General features: G+C 39.7%; 1 long non-coding RNA gene across 1 annotated transcript in view, besides 1 other annotated feature; it reads left to right on the plus strand.

Annotated features, from left to right (window-relative positions):
• B4GALT4-AS1 (B4GALT4 antisense RNA 1) overlaps nucleotides 1-17,693 on the plus strand; it is a 64,181-nt gene that overhangs the window by 43,572 nt on the left and 2,916 nt on the right. The window lies entirely within an intron of this gene.
• Nucleotides 4,987-5,156: an enhancer, noted in NCBI's record as "active region_20294". NCBI's record gives its function as "activates an Ori minimal core promoter by ATAC-STARR-seq in GM12878 lymphoblastoid cells {active_cell/tissue: GM12878}" and the evidence as "EXISTENCE:reporter gene assay evidence [ECO:0000049][PMID:35858748]".

The following is a 17,693-nucleotide window of genomic DNA, read 5'->3' on the forward strand; positions in this document are numbered from 1 at the left end:
TGGAAACTGAACAACCTGCTCCACAATGACTACTAGGTAAATAACAAAATTAAGGCACAAATAAAGAAGTTCTTTGAAACCAATGAGAACAAAAACAAACGTACCAGCATCTCTGGGATACAGCTAAAGCAGTGTTTAGAGGGAAATTTATAGCACTAAATGCCCACAGGAGGAAGTGGAAAGATGTAAAATCGACACCCTAACATCACAATTAAAAGAACTAGAGAAGCAAGAGCAAACAAATTCAAAGCTAGCACAAGACAAGAAATAACTGACATCAGAGCAGAATTGAAGGAGAAAGAGACATGAAAAACCCTTCATAAAATCAATGAATCCAGGAGCTGGTTTTTTGAAAAGGTCAGCAAAATAGATAGACCACTAGCTAGACTAATAAAGAAGAAAAGAGAGAAAAATCAAATAGGCACAATAAAAAATGATAAAGGGGATATCACCACCAATCCCAAAGAAATACAAGCTACCATCAGAGAATACTATAAACACGTCTATGCAAATAAACTAGAAAATCTACAAGAAATTGATAAATTCCTGGACACATACACCTCCCAAGACTAAACCAGGAAGAAGTCAAATCCCTGAATAGACCAATAACAAGTTCTGAAATTAAGGCAGTAATTAATAGCCTACAAACCAAAAAAAAAAAAGCCCAGGACCAGACGGATTCACAGCCAAATTCTACCAGAGGTACGAAGAATAGTTGGTACCATTCGTTCTGAAACTACTCCAAACAATGAAAAAGAGGGACTCCTCCCTAACTCATTTTATGAAGCCAGCATCATCCTGATACGAAAACCTGGCAGAGACACAACAAAAAAAATTTCAGGCCAATATCCCTGATGAATATTGATGCGAAAATCTTCAATAAAATATTGGCAAACTGAATCCAGCAGCACATCAAAAAGCTTATCCCCCACGATCAAGTCAGCTTCATCCTGGGATGCAAGGCTGGTTCAACATATGCAAATCAATAAATGTAATCCATCACATAAACAGAACCAATGACAAAACCCACATGATTATCTCAATAGATGCCAAAAAGGCCTTCAATAAAATTCAACACCCCTTCATGCTAAAAACACTCAATAAACTAGGTATTGATTGAATGTATCTCAAAATAATAAGAGCTATTTATGACAAACCCATAGCCAACATCATACTGAATAGGCAAAAGCTGAAAGCATTCCCTTTGAAAATCGGCACAAGACAAGGATGCCCTCTCTCACCACTCCTATTAAACATAGTATTGGAAGCTCTGTCCAGGGCAATCAGGCAAGAGAAAGAAATAAAGCGTATTCAAATAGGAAGAGAGGAAGTCAAATTGTCTCTGTTTGCAGATGATGTGATTGTGTATTTAGAAAACCCCATTGTTTCAGCCCAAAAACTCCTTAAGCTGATAAGCAACTTCAGCAAAGTCTCAAGATACAAAATCAATGTGCAAAAATCACAAGCATTCCTATACACCAATAACAGACAAACAGAGAGCCAAATCATGAGTGAACTCCCATTCACAATTGCTACAAAGAGAATAAAATACCTAGGAACACAACTTACAAGGGATGTGAAGGACCTCTTCAAGAAGAACTACAAACCACTGCTCAAGGAAATAAGAGAGGGCACAAATGGAAAAAAATTCCATGCTAATGGATAGGAAGAATCAATATCATGAAAATGGCCATCCTGCCCAAAGTAATTTATAGATTCAATGCTATTCCCGTAAAGCTACCATTGACTTTCTTCACAGAATTAGAAAAAAAAAACACTTTAAATGTCATTTGGAACCAAAAAAGAGCCCATATAGCCAAGACAATCCTAAGCAAAAAGAACAAAGCTGGAGGCATCACGCTACCTGATTTCAAACTGTACTACAAAGCTACAGTAACCAAAACAGCATGCTACTGGTACCAAAACAGATATATAGACCAATGGAACAGAACAAAGACCTCAGAGATAACACCACACATCTACAACCATCTGATCTTTGACAAATCTGACACACACAAACAACTGGGAAAGGATTCCCTATTTAATGAATGGTGCTGGCAAAACTGGCTAGCCATATGCAGAAACAGAAACTTCCTTACACCTTACCCTTCCTTACACCTCATACAAAAATTAACTCAAGATGGATTAAAGACTTAAACAGAAAACCAAAAATTATAAAAACCCTAGAAGAAAACCTAGGCAATACCATTCAGGTCATAGGCATGGGCAAAGACTTTATGACTAAAACACCAAAAGCAATTGCAACAAAAGCCAAAATTGACAAATGGGATCTAATCAAACTAAAGAACTTCTGTACAGCAAAAGAAACCATCATCAGAGTGAACAGGCAACCTACAGAATGGGAAAAAAATTTTGCAAGCTACCCATCTCATAAAGGGCTAATATCCAGAATCTAAAAGGGACTTAAACAAATTTACAAGAAGAAAACAACCCCATCAAAAAGTGGGCAAAGGATATGAACAGACTCTTCTCAAAAGAAGACATTTACGTGGCCAACAAACGTGAAAAACAGCTCATCATCACTGGTCATTAGAGAAATGCAAATCAAAACCACAATGAGATACCGTCTCACACCAGTTAGAATGGTGATTATTAAAAAGTCAGGAAACAACAGATGCTGGCAAGGCTGTGGAGAAATAGGAATGCTTTTACACTGTTAGTGGGAGTGTAAATTAGTTCAGCCATTGTGGAAGACAGTGTGGCGATTCCTCAAGGATATAGAACCAGAAATACCATTTGACCCAGCAATCCCATTACTGGGTATATACCAAAGGATTATAAATCATTCTACTACAAAGACACATGCACATGTATGTTTATTGCAGCATATTTACAATAGCAAAGACTTGGAACCAACCCAAATGCCCATCAATGATAGACTGGATAAAAAAAATGTGGCACATATACACATATACATGTGTATATGTATGTGGCACATGTACCTGGAATACTATGTGGCACATATACATGGAATACTATGCAGCCATAAAAAAGGATGAGTTCATGTCCTTTGCAGGGACATGGATGAAGCTGGAAACCATCATTTTCAGCAAACTAACACAGGAACAGAAAACCATGTTCCCACTCATAAGTGGGAGCTGAACAATAAGAACACATGGACACAGGGAGGGGAACATCACACACCAGGGCCCATCGAGGGGTGGGGGACTAGGGGAGGGAGAGCATTAGGACAAATACCTAATGCATGCGGGGCTTAAAACCTAGATGACCAGATGATAGGTGCAGCAACCACCATGGCACATGTCTACCTATGTAACAAACCTGCACATTCTGCACTTGTATCCCAGAACTTAAAGTAAAATTTAAAAAATATATAATAATAAAAATTCTTATTGGGGAAAAAAGAATTAAAAACAAACTCTTTAGAAGCTAGTTACCTTTGGGTGGTGAGACATGGGGGTGAAAGGGAGGTTTGGAGAATAAAGCAGGAAACGTTTTTCTTTTTCCATTTAATGCCATTCTATACTTTTGAATTTTTTAACCAAGTACATGTATTACTGTTAAAATAGACATTCCTTATACAATTTCATCATTTTGGTTTTGTTTAATTTTAGGTTTAAGGCACATGAGGAAAGTATAATGTATCTATTTTTAAAGTTTTATGGTCTGAACATTTATGTTTTCCAGATAAAGCTAAGCCACTTCATAGCCTGTCTCTGCATGGTACTATTTTCCAAAGAAACACTAACCCATATCCAAAAATAACAGAAAGGCAATTTAAATTTTTACTTCAGTGCCATGAAAGCATCAAAGGGGGATTCCATTTATAATACATAACAAAACCTCTTAAAATCTTCTTGCCCAACCTCTCAATATCTCACACCATATGGTAGCTGCTTCTAAAACTCTCTCCCCCCATCTTCAAACCTTTACAGAATGCATCCCACACTGTCTCTAGTTTCCTCTACTCCCCACTTCTCTCCCTTCTCTTTCTGGGCCTATTGTCTTCTAAGTCTCGGTCCTTTCAAATATAAATCAAGCTGTCCCTGATGTTCATTTTATCCCTTATCACAAGGATGCTTCTTCTTAGTCTGGGAAAACTAGCATTATTGTTTGTTTGTTTTTGTTGGAGACAGAGTCTCACTCTGTCACCCAGGCTGGAGTGCAGTGGTGCAGTCTTGCTTCACTGCAACCTCTGCCTCCCCGGTTCAAGCAATTCTCGTGCCTCAGCCTCCTGAGTAGCTGGGACTACAGGTGTGTGCCACCACTCCCGGATAATTTTTTGTATTTTAATAGAGATGGGGTTTCACCATGTTGCCCAGGCTGGTCTCGAACTCCTAAGCTCAGGCAATCTGCCTGCCTCAGCCTCCAAAGTGCTAGGATTACAGGTATCAGCCACCATGCTAGGCCAGCATCATTGTATTATTACTTCTAAAGAAAAACCAAATTCTTATTTCTAAAAAATCTACTACAGTCAAAGATTTGAGACATAGCCTGCTAGAATATAGTTGTAAAACTACGAGTTTCTCTCCTCTAAGCATCTTAGAAATAGGGACTGGGTTTTATTCATCTTTGCATTCACTGGGCCTACAAAGTGCTTTACACACCAAGTGCACACAAAACTATTAAAGCTGTAATTTGGAATATAGCTTTTATGAGAGAAGTCATAGGGAGAAGAGGAAGGAAGCTAATTTTTACCGAGTATCTGCTATGGAGCAGTCACTGTGCCTTTCTAGTGGTGAAGTATCTCTCTCTCTTTTTTCTAGATTAGTAATTGCCACAGGGGAGCAAGAAAGGCAGATGTGAAGTACACAAAGTTTGAAGAGACCCTCCATGTGATGCTGGTATTCCCACATCATAAAACATCCTCATACCTCCCACATGTAAACTAAGTCACTTTTACAAATGCGGATGTGTCCAAAGTACCATCCTGACCTTTAAGTGCTGGGGATGAGGTAGAAAGATTAGGAACTACTGATGGAAACTCTGAGAGTGTGTGTGTGTGTGTGTGTGTGTGTGTGTGTGTGTGTGTGTGATGCATGTGTATTTAAAACACATACACATTCAAAAATGCCCACTAGATGGCAAACCCACATCTCAAATGTTAACCATTACTGGAGTGACCCTTCTGGAAGGCTAGGGCACTTTAATAATTCAAGCCAATTCGTAAAAGGCCAAGATTTTGTATACAGTTTAAGGGGCATGCAAATTAGCTTTGTGATGATGGTCTTACAAATCATTTCTAGGAATAGAGGCTAAACTTATAACTCCACCATTTCCAGAACCTAATCTGATTTATTTTCCACGCAAAATACAGTATGAATGCAGGTAAATTAAATTTCCTTACTATACCATCTGATTTCATATCTAGGTTTCATAACTTTGTGGGAGTAAAGCCAGTGATGGGGATAGGGTGTGAGCCTAAGTAGTCCCATTCTGGAAGTTCGGCATTTTATCCAGGATGCATTTCAACCTTCCGCTAACGTGAGAGGGAAGGCACCAAGGAAGAATGCGTAGCTTTCCGCCCTCCTCCCCAGCCTCCTACATTGCTGCCAGATGTAGTTGAGCCTGCACTGCTCAAAATTCTCCAGTGGCTCCCCACTAAAGGATCAACTCTATCAATGGTATCACACACACAGTCCCACCTTATGGACAAGCCGGTATATCACCAATCTCTCTCACACCCAACCGCATTGATTTGCTTTCCAGTCCCTGAGCAAGTCCTGATCTCACACGCCTCTGTGACTCTAGAAATGCTATTCTTGCTGTCCTGAAAACCCTCTCCCCTATTATCTGCAGGAGCAACTACTCACTCTTCAAGTCTCCACAAGGGTCACTTTCTCTAAGAGGCCCTCTGACTCTGCCAGCCAATCAGGTACTCCAACTTCAATATACCCATCATACCATTTGTTGCACAGTGCATCTCTCTCTTGCCACAAAAACGAGGGCTTCATGAGGGCCTGGATGGTGTCTTTCCAACTTTGTGTCCTCAGCACCGAATCCAAGGCCTAGCATACAGACAATGCTTAGTAAATTATTGACTGGCTGGCCAAATAAATGTATAAATGTTGTATGTAAACAGACTTTGCACATTTCCTTAAAAATTTCAGTGCTCAGCTCCCAGAATGTAGCAGGGAGATAGCTCCTTCACTGAGTCCCTTGCAGAGGCATAGGTGGGGATGGAGGATCAGGGAGCCAGAGCCAGAGAAGCCAGCTCAGGGAGGCTACAGGGCTGATAGAGTGGCTCCACAGAGCTTCCTGTCTCTGGTGCTACAAGAACAGTCTTTGAAAACATGAAAGCATGTGGGAAGGAGCCCCGCAACCTCCCACCTCCCAGCAACCTCTATAGTCAGGTGAATCCTTGGCTGTTTCCGAAACTATCCTCCTTTACCTCCACTGGAGCTCCTTGCTGAAACCAGCATTTGTATAAAATTGCTTAATCTCAGTGCCAGCTAGAGATACAGGTATTTACTGGGGGCTCCACCAAGAAAGACTTCTGAGGTTTGACTGCTACCAATTCGATCATTAAAGTAATAGATTACATTGCAGGACTGGGGGCTAGTTCTGTTCCTTAATTATGTTGGCTGTATTCATCTGCTAGGGCTGCCAGTGTCACAAACCAGGTGGTTTAAACAATAGAAATTTATCATCTCACATTTCTGGAGGCTAGAAGTCTGAGATCAAAGTGCCAGCAGGGTTGGTTCCTTTTGAGGGCTATGAGAGAGAATCTGTTCCATGTCTCTTCCCTAGCTTCTGGTGGCTTGCTGGCAACGTCTGACACTCCTTGGCTTGAGGCGTCGCTCCAATCTCTGCCTTCATCTTCACATCTTCACATGTCATTCTCCCTGTGTAAGTAGACAGGGAGGATGTCCACATTTCCCATTTTATAATGACACCGGCCATACTGGATTCGTGACTCACCCTACTCCAGTTTGACTGCATATTAACTAATTAGTAGTACCCATCCTATTTCCAAATAAGGTCATATTCTGAGGTACTAGGGGTTAGGACTTTAACATTTGAAATTGGTGGCACACAGTTCAACTCAAAACATTAGCCATGTTTTCTAAAGCGAAAATCAGAACACATCTTTTGGCACATGGTTTGACTATAGGGCAGAATGTTTGAAATCAGGACTATCTGAGCAATGTGGGTGTATGGGGGAATCCTTTTCAAGAGTAAATCTAGGCAAGTTAATATTATAGAAAATTTTTTAAAACATCCAGGTGGATACCCAATTGAAAAAGTTCTGCTAAATACCTGGCCGGGTACAGTGGCTCATGCTGGTAATCCCAAGACTTTGGGAGGCCAGGACGGGCAGATCACTTGAGGTCAGGAGTTGAGGCCAGTCTGGCCAACATGGTGAAACCCCGTCTCTACTACAAATATAAAAATTAGCCAGGTATGGTGGCACAGGCCTGTGGCCCCAGCTACTTGGGAGGCTGAGGCACGAAAATTGCTTGAACCTGTGAGGTGGACGCTGCAGTGAGTCGAGATCGTGCCACTGCACTCCAGACTGGGTGACAGAGACAGACCCTGTCTCAAAAAAAATTTTTAAATAAGGAAAAGTTCTGCTAAATACCTAGAATTAGAACAGAAACCTGTGGCTGCTTTAAATAATCAGGTTCCACAAAATCAAATTAATGTGAGTTATGCAGATATAGAAATAGATATAGATATATACATACCTACATGCATACATATGCATCTTACTTTGAGAAAGCACATAAGTAAATGAGATCTGTGTGTATTTGACTAGCTTCTTTTAAGATCAAAATGGAGATTAAAATACTTGTGTATTGAAGGTTGAAAAAAGAAGAATATTCTCTGAAATAAATGTTAAGATTCAAGTGTGATTTTGATTACAAAGTGGAACCCCTTCTCCCCACTTCTACCCACCCCCCCACCACAAGCTTGGAAACATATATCCAAAAGGTAGAATGAAAAACAACAGGCCTATATTATCCAACTTACAAATGTTCACAACTTTAGGGGAGCGAATATATATCGAGGGTAATTTGTATGTTTGACCTGTTATAACTCTTGTCTCCAAACTAACTTCTGCATACTGTATTCCCGAGATGGGAATGAAAACAGGTCCTGGGATACCAGAGATGTAAGAAAAGTGTGAGCCACAATCAAAACCATTTCCCAAATAGCCCACAAAAAGCAATGTGCCCTCCGTGTTAGAAAACTGTTTTATGGCCGGATGCGGTGGCTCGGGCATGTAATCCCAGCACTTTGGGAAGCCAAGGCGGGTGGATCACCTGAGGTCAGGAGTTCGAGACCAGCCTGGCCAACATGGTGAAACCCTGCCTGTATTAAAAATACAAAAATTAGCCGGGGGCAGTGGCACGCACCTGTAGTCCCAGCTACTCGGGAGGCTGAAGCAGGAGAATCGCTTGAACCTGGGAGGCGGAGGTTGCAGTGAGCCGAGATCTCACCACTGCACTCCAGCCTGTGTGACAGAGCAAGACTCCGTCAAAAAAAAGAAAGAGAAAAAGAAAGAAAGAAAGAAGGAAGGAAGGAAGGAGAAAGAGAAAGAAAGAGAAAGAAAGAAAGAAAGAAAGAAAGAAAGAAAGAAAGAAAGAAAGAGAAAGAAAGAAAGAAAGAAAGAGAAAGAAAGAAAGAAAGAGAAAGAAAGAAAAACTGTTTTACAAGAAACAGTCTTGCCCTTTCTGAAAAATTTTCCAGGTTCTAAGCACTTATGTGTAAAGGAAATCATCTCAAACTATGTTGGAACTGGGAATGGTAAAAATAAATTAATGACAATAAAATAAACTTAAAGTCTTATAAATATATTTAACATGGGACAAGGGATCAGGATAAGGAAATGTGAAAAAGACATGAATAAACTGGATAATGATGGAGGAAATGGAAGAATCGCTCAGTGAGAAGACAATAAAAATCACTCTCATTTATGTATCAAGCTTCTACCTCGGTATAAACAAAGTGCTAGGCATTTTCATTATCTTATTTAATCCTCACAACAGTCTAACAAGGTAGATATTATCACTCCAATTTAACAGATGGGAAAACTGTGGCTCAGAGGAGTTAAGTCATGTGTCCAACCACTGGGCAAATCAGTGGCAGAGTCAGGCATGGAGCCCAGGTTGGCCTGAGTCCACAGTCTGTGTGCCCAGAGCTGGGGAGGAGCCTCTGGGGACACGAATGTTTACAAGAACCTTTACAGCACCTCCATCTCATGGACAGGACTGAGTAGGAAAACCAGGCCTGTAGGGAGGGCTGAAATGGAAGGGGAAGAGCGTACAGAGGCAGATTACTAGGCATCAAGGCCTAACAACAACTGTGTATTGGGGAAAACAATTTTGTTCAAGAGGGCTATTTATAGGGATGTTTTTCCTCAGTACTCCCTTCCCCCATCTCCTCCCTTTTGTGTTAAGAGGCGCCTGGCAGATTGGTAAAGGGTTACAGGCAGTGGACAGGAAACCATGGAACACAATGAACGGGGCGGGACAGATCCCCACCCACCTAAGAAAATCGCTGGCTCCAGTATTCAGAGACCCTGGGGGGAGACAGACTGAGCTCAGGGTTCTGCTCCTTCCCTGGTTCAGCTAGAAAGAGGCAACGTTCCCAAAGGGGTGCGAAACAGAGCAAGAGGGGGAGCAGGGCAGAATGAGGCAACAAAATATAACAAGATTATTAAAAATAAGTCAAATGGACAGTTCATTCTCTTTCCTGAGGACTGCTGTATTCTGTGAGAGATGAAGGTTTTTCTACCCAAAGACTCTGTCCAGTGTGGGAACTCCAAAGATACAGCACAAGAGGCAAGAGAAATCATCTCAAACCCAGCTGCTGAGAGGGACCCCAGAATCCAATGTGAGGTCCTTGGGACACACCCTGCCAGGCTTCTTCCCTCTGGGCCACTGGACACAAATCTTAACCCAAATGGATCCAGATTCAGACTTAAAGCCTAATGCAAGACGCTGTGCAGATTCAGGCATTGGTATAATAATAATTCCACTCACAGCACTTGGCTCTTTCAGGCCTTGTGAAGTCTCTCGTCCACATGTGACTCTAGGAAGGAAGTGTCCCGCTGCTGTTTGGCAGTGTCTAGTGCCCATGGTGGAGTGGGACAAGGGGGTCTTGTACTGCCTGGTTTGTTCATTTCTGAAACATTGAAGATTGATTTAATGCTACAACTGTGCATATGGGTCAAATGTCATTATGGTTTTTTAAACACTATAGAACACAAAAGATTTCCAAACCTCTATTTTTGAATACTATTCAATACAAAGAAATTAGCGCATAAGTAAAATATTGGTGAGGAAAAACTTATTTCTCAAATAATTTCAAATAATTTATCCTGATGTCTCATCTAATCTCTAGTCCTAACTTCTCAGCTTCTCCTCAGTCTTGCATTTTATACTATCAAAGGACATTTCCTCCTGAAATTTCTGATATGGCCCTTGATGTGTAGAGAAGTATGTATTATCATTCTCCAAAAAAAAAAAAACAGTTTTTACTCTTACCAGTCCCCAGTCTTATAAACCCGGAGAGGTTTTGGACTCTACTGTCTCCTACATCTAGTCTTTTAAATAAATGTCTGAGATTTTGAGTTAGCAGTTAGGGTCCCTGATAAATGCACGGTTACTATAAAAAATAATACTTCATTTATCATCGAGTCTTATTCTTTCTTGCTATTCACTTTACATCACCCTTTCTACCCCAAAATTGGTAGTTGATGGTAAAGTAACTGAATTATGTTCTCAGCTGGGGAAGTGAGGATATAAAGCAGTCTCCCAGTGCTTTTTTTGCCCTAACTAATGCAGCTTTGCAACTCTGGGAACTATAATATTCAATGTAGGGAGAGGAGAGAGAAAGAGATAAAGAAGTTATGTTTAATAATGACTAGATCTGTTCAACTTTTAGGCTGGGAGTGAAGTCATTTAAAGCCCTTCTCTTTCTCCATTCTTATCATGGCAGCTGCTTGATCTTGGAAGTCCTTTTAGAAGGAAAACTGGCTTTAATAATTGCAGAGATGGTGGAGCAATGGGAAGTCAGGTGGTCAGGATAGGAAACTGATTCTGATTCTCATTTCTTCTTTCCCATCAAGTTAACTTCTCCTCCACTCAGTACTGTTTGACTAAGGATTGATAATGTAGACCTCCCTGCTCCAGTCCACTAAGTATGCTTAATTTGGAAACTTAGAAGCAACAATTTGCAGTGTAATCTGGAAACTGATGCACAGGGAAATGCAATAATGGACTTGGGATACACAACTTTTTAGAAGATCTTTTGCTCTGGTCAAGTGCATCTTCTACTAGCTTCAGAATCCCATGACATTGGTGCCTGGACTAAGGGGGTGCATAAGTCCTCTCTAATAGGAGAGCATCATCTAACAATTGATCTCAATACTAGATACCACATAAGCACTGATATTATTAGACTCTGTGTCCCCACCCAGTCTCATGTCAAATTATAATCCTCATGTGTCAAGGGCGGGACCTGTTGGGAGGTGATTAAATTATGGGGATGAATTTCCTCCGTGCTGCTCTCATGATAGTGAGTTCCCATGAGATCTGATGGTTAAACATATGGCACTTCCCTGCCCACTCTCTCTCTCCTGCTTTGCCATGAGAAGATGTGCTTTGCTTCCCCTTCACCTTCTGCCATGATTGTAAGTTTCCTGAGGCCTCACAGTTATGCTTCCTGTTAAGCCTGCAGAATTGTGAGTCAATTAAACCTCTTTTCCTCATGAATTACCCAGTCTCAGGTAGTTCTTTATAACAGTGTGAAAATGGACTAACACAGAAAATTGGTACCAGGAGAGTGGTGCTCTGCTAAAAAGATACCTGAAAATGTGGAAGCGACTTTGGAACTGGGTAACAGGCAGAGGTTAGAACAGTTCTGAGGGCTCAAAGAAGAAAGGAAGATGTGGGAAAGTTTGGAACTTCCTAGAGACTTGTTGAATGGTTTTGACCAAAATGCTGATCGTGACATGGACAATGAAGTCCAGACTGAGATGGTCTCAGATGGAGATGAGGAATTTATTGGGAGTAAAGGTCACTTTTGCTATGATTTAGCAAAGAGACTGGTGGCATTTTCCCCCTGCCCTAGAGATCTGTGGAAGTTTGAACTTGAGAGAGATGATATAGGGTATCTGGCAGAAGAAATTTCTAAACAACAAAAAATTCAAGATTTGGTCTGGCTGCTCCTAACAGGATACAGTCATATGCATTCACAAAGAGATGGTCTGAAATTGAAACTTATGTTTAAAAGGGAAGCAGAGCATAAAAGTTTGGAAAATCTGCAGCCTGACCATGTGGTCAAAAATAAAAACCCGTTTTCTGGGGAGAAATTCAAGTCAGTTGCAGAAATTTGCATAAATGAAGAGGAGCCAAATGTTAATAGCCAAGACAATGGGGAATGTCTCCAGGACATGTCAGAGATCTTCACAGAAGCCCCACCCATCACAAGCCAGGAGGCCTAGGAGGGAAAATGGTTTCATGGGCCAGGCCCAGGGCTCCGCTGCTCTGTGCAGCCTTGGGACTTGGCACCTCAGTCCCAGCTGCTCCAGCCCCAGCTGTGGCTAAAAGGGGCCAAGGTACAGCTCAGCCCATTGCTTCAGAGTATGCAAGCCCCGAGCCTTGGTGACTTCCATGTGGTATTGGGCCTGCAGGTACACAGAAGGCAAGAATTGATGTTTGGAAACCTCTGCCTAGATTTCAGAGAATGTATGAAAATGTCTGGATGTACAGGTAGAAGTCTGCTGCAGGGGTGGAGCCCTCATGGAGAACCTCTACTAGGACAGTCTGGAGGGAAAATGTGGGGTGGGAACCCCCACACAGAGCCCCCACTGGGGCACTGCCTCATGGAGCAGTGAAAAGGGGGCCACTGTCCTCCAGACCCCAGAATGGTAGATCCGTGAAGACCTTGCACTGTTCACCTGGAAAAGCCACAGATACTCAATGCCAGCCTATAAAAGCAGCTATGGGGACTGTACCCTGCAGAGCCACAGGGGTGGAGCTGCCCAAGGCCTTGGGAGACCACCCCTTGTGTCAGTGTGGCCTGGATGTGAGACACAGAGTCAAAATAGACTATCTGGGGGCTTTAAGATTTAATGACTGCCCTGCTAGGTTTCAGACTTTCATGGACCTTGTAGCCCCTTTGTTTTGGCCAATTTCTCCCTTTTGGAATGGGAGCATTTACCCAATGCTTACACCCCCATTGTGTCTTGGAAGTAATTAACTTGCTTTTGATTTTACAAGCTCATAGGCAGAAGAGACTTGCCTTGTCTTAGATGAGACTTTGGACTTGGACTTTTGAGTTAATGCTGGAATGAGTTAAGACTTTGAGGGACTGTTGGGAAGGCATGATTAATTTTGCAATGTGAGAAGGACATGAGATTCGGAAGGGGCCAGGGGCAGAATGATATGGTTTGGCTTTATGCCCCCACCCAAATCTCATGTCAAATTGTAATCACCATGTGTCAGGGGAGGGACCTGGTGGGAGGTGATTGGATCATGGGGGCAGATTTCCCCCATGCTGTTGTCATGATAGTAAGTGAATTCTCATGAGATCTGATGATTTAAAAGTGTGGCACTTCCCTCCCTCATTCTCTGTCTCCTGCTCCACCATGGGAAGATATGACTTGCAACCCCTTAACCTTCTGCCATGATTGTAAGTTTCCTGAGGCCTCCCAGTTATGCTTCCTGTTAAGCCTGCAGAGCTGTGAGTCAATTACCCTCTTTTCTTCATAAATTACTCCATCTCAGGTAGTTCTTTATAGTAGTGTGAAAAGGACTAATACAAGCACCTTTAAAATAGAGGTTACTGGGTGTGTGGCCATTTCTATGTCTTCTTTTGAGAAATGTCTGTTCAGATCATTTGCTAATTTTTTAATTGGAATGTTTGTTTGTTTTTGCTGTTGAGATATTTGAGTTCCTTGTATATTCTGGATATTAATTCCCTGTCAGATGAGTAATTTGTAAATAGTTTCTCCCATTCTATAGATTGTCTTTTCACTCTGTTGAATGTTTCATTTGCAGTACAGAAGCTTTTTAGTTTGCTGTGATTTCATTTATTTTTTTTTCTTTTGTTGGCTAGGATTTTGAGATCTTATTCACAAAATATTTTCCCAGACAAATGTCCTGAAGCACATCCCCTATGTTTTCTTCTAGTAGTTTTATTGTTTCAGGTCTTACATTTAGGTCTTTGATACAGTTTGAGTTGATTTTTATAGAGAGTACATGGTGAGGGTCTATTTTCATTCTTTTGCATGTAGATATCCAGTTTCCCCAGCACCATTTATTAAAGAGACTTTTCTTTACCCAGTGAGTATTCTTGACGCCTTTGTCAAAAATTAGTTGGCTATAAATATATGGATTAGTTTCTGGGATCTTGACTTTGTTCCATTGGTCTGAATGTCTGTTTTTATTTCAGTATCATGCTGTTTTACTGTTAAAAAAACTGTACTACTACAGTTTTGTAGTATATTTTGAGATATAATAGTGTGATACCCCCAGTTTTGTTTCTTTTGCTTAGGATTGCCTTAGCTATTTGGGATCTTTGTGGTTCCATGGAAATGTCAGGATTTTTTTTCTATTTTTATAAGGAATGTAATTGGTATTTTGATAGGATTGCATTGAATATATAGATTTCTTTGAGCAATCTTAACAATGTTAATTTATCTAATCAGTGAGCATAAGATGTTTTTCCATTTGTACCATCTTCAATTTCCTTCATCAGTGTTTTGTAGTTTTCTTTGTAGAGATCTTTTACCTCCTTGGTTAAATTTATTTTCAGATTTTTTATTGTAGCTATTGAAAATGCGATTGCCTTCTTGATTTCTTTTTCAGCTACTTTGTTGTTTGTGTATGGAAACACCACTGATTTTTGTATGTTAATTTTGTATACTGTAACTTTACTGAACTTACAAGTTCTAAAAGTTTTTTGATAGAGTCTTTAGGTCTTTCTATATGTAAAATCATTATCTGCAAATGGGGACAGTCTGACTTATTTCTTTCCAATTTGGATGTCCTCTATTTCTTTCTCTTGCCTAATTGCTCTAGCTAGGACTTCCAGTACTATTTTGAATAAGAGTGGTGAAAATGGGTATCCTTGTTTTGTTCTAGTTCTCAGGGGAAACGTTTTCTGCTTTTCCTTGTTGAGTAAGATGTTAGCTGTAGGTTTGTCATATATGGCCTTTATTATGTTGAGATACTTTTCTTCTATACTTACTTTACTAGGAGTTTTTAATCATGGAGGACTGTTGAATTTTATCAAATGTTTTTCTGCATCTATTGAGATGATCATATAGTTTTTGTCCTTCATTTAACTGATGTGATATATGACATTTATTGATTTGTACATGTTGAACCATTCTTGCATCCTTGGGATAAATCCCACTTGATCATGGTGTAGTATCTTTTGGATGTATTGTTGGATTCGGGTTGCTACTATTTTTTGAGGATTTTTGTGACTATGTTCATCAGAGATATTGACCTGCAGTTTTCTTTTTTTTAATTGTGTCCTTGTCTGGTTTTGGTATCAGGGTCATGCTATACCCATAGAATGAGTTAGGAAGAATTCCTTCTGCTTCAATTTTTTTTTGAATTGCTTGAGGATAACTGGCATTAGTACTTCTTTAAAGGTTCAGTAGAATTCAGTGGTGAAGGGATCCCATTCTAGACTTTTCCTTGTTGGGAGATTTTTTTTTAATTACTAATTCAATCTCATTACATGTTACTAGCCTGCTCAGATTTTCTATTTCTTCTTGATTCAATCTTGGTAGGCTGTATGTGTCCAGGCACTTATCCATTTTCTCTAGGTTTTCTAATTTTTCAGCATATAGCTATTCATAGAATCCCTAATGAGCCTTTATATTTCTGTGGTATCCATTGTGACATCTTTTTCATGTCTGATTTTCTTTATTTGGGTCTTCTCTCTTTTTTTAATAGTCTGGCTAATGGTTTGTCAATTTTGTTTATCTCTTTTTTTTAAAAAAACAGCTTTTTGTTTCATTGATTTTGTTTGTTTGTTTTTTAGTCTCAGTGTTTAAATATTTTGCTCTGATCTTCATTATTTCTACCCTTCTACTAACTTTGGATTCGGTTTGTTCTTGTTTTTCTAGTTCCTTGGGGTGCATTGTTAGGTTGTTTATTTGAACTCTTTCTATTTTTTTGATGCTGGTGTTTAGTACTCTAAATTTCCCTCTTAACACTGCTTTTGCTACATTCCATAGGTTTTGGTATGTTATATTTCAATTTTCATTTGTTTCAAATAATTTTTAAATTTCATTCTTAATTTCCTCTTTCATCTATTGGTTCTTCAGGAGCAAGTAGCCTAATTTTCATGAATTTCTATAGTTTTTAATATCCATATTGTTATAGTGTCTAGTGTTATTCCACTGTAGTCCAGTAAGATACTTGATATGATTTTAATTTTTTTAACATTTTCTGAGATTTGTTTTGTGTCTTAATACATGGTCAAACCTGGAGAATGTTCAATGTGCTGCTAAAAAGAATGTGTATTCTGCAGCTGTTTGGTGAAATGTTTTGTAAATGCCTGTTTGGTCTACCTGGTCTATGGTGCAGTTTAAATCTGATGTTTTTTTTTTTTTTATGTCTAGATGATCTGTGCAATGCTGTGAGTGGGGTGTTGAAGTCCCAAAGTATTATTGTATTGGGGTCTATCTTGCCCTTTAGATATAATAATATTTGTTCTATATATCTAGGTGCTGCAGTGTTGAGTGCATATATATTTATAATTGTTATATTATCTTGCTGAATGGATTCTTTTATTATTGTATAATGACCTTCTTTGTCTCTTTTTACAGCTTTTAACTTGAAGTCTATTTTGTCTGATACAAATATAGCTACTTCTGCTTGCTTTTGATTTCCATTTGCGTGGACTATCTTCTTCCATACCTTCTCTTTCAGGCTATGTATGTCTTTGTATAGATTTCTTGTAGGCAGCATATAGTTGGGTCTGGGTTTCTAATGCATTCAGCCAATCTATATCTTTTAAATGGGGACTTTAATCTATTTACATTTAAGGTTATTATTGACAGGTGAGGACTTACTCCTGTCATTTTATTGTCTTTTGATTGTTTTGTATATCCTTTGTTCCTTGCTTCCTCTCTTATTGTTTACTCTTGTGGTTGGGTGGTTTTCTGTAGTAATAAGATTTGATTCCTTTTTCCTTACCCTTTAGTGTATTGGCTCTAACAGAGGTTTTTTTTACATAAGTTTTGCCTGCTTTCATGATTGTGGTTATCATCTTCTCACTTCCAGATGTAAGACTCCCTTGGATTTCTTGTAAGACCAGTTTAGAGGTGATGAATTCCCTAAATTTTGCTTGTTTGTGAAAATTTTATATTTCCTTCATTTGTAAAGGATAGCTTTGCTGGGTACAATATGCTTGAGTGGCAGTTTTGTCCTTCAGTATCTGGAATTGAACACCACAGTGTCTTCTGATCTATAAAGTTTTTGCTGATAAATCCACTAATATTTATAATAATCTAACAGAGATTCCCTTATGTGTGACTTGATACCTTTCTCTTGCTCCTTTTAAAATTCTTTGTCTTTGAATCTTGAAAATTTGACTATAATGTACCTCAAAGAGGATTTGTTTAAATTGAATCTCTTTGGGGTTCTTTGAGCTTCCTGGATCTGAAAGTCCATCATCTGTCTCCCAAGACTTGGTAAGTTTTCCGCTTTGGTTTCATTAGATATGTTTTACTCATC

The sequence above is a fragment of the Homo sapiens genome, chromosome 3 (assembly GCF_000001405.40).
Source record: "Homo sapiens chromosome 3, GRCh38.p14 Primary Assembly".
Classification (NCBI taxonomy): domain Eukaryota; kingdom Metazoa; phylum Chordata; class Mammalia; order Primates; family Hominidae; genus Homo; species Homo sapiens.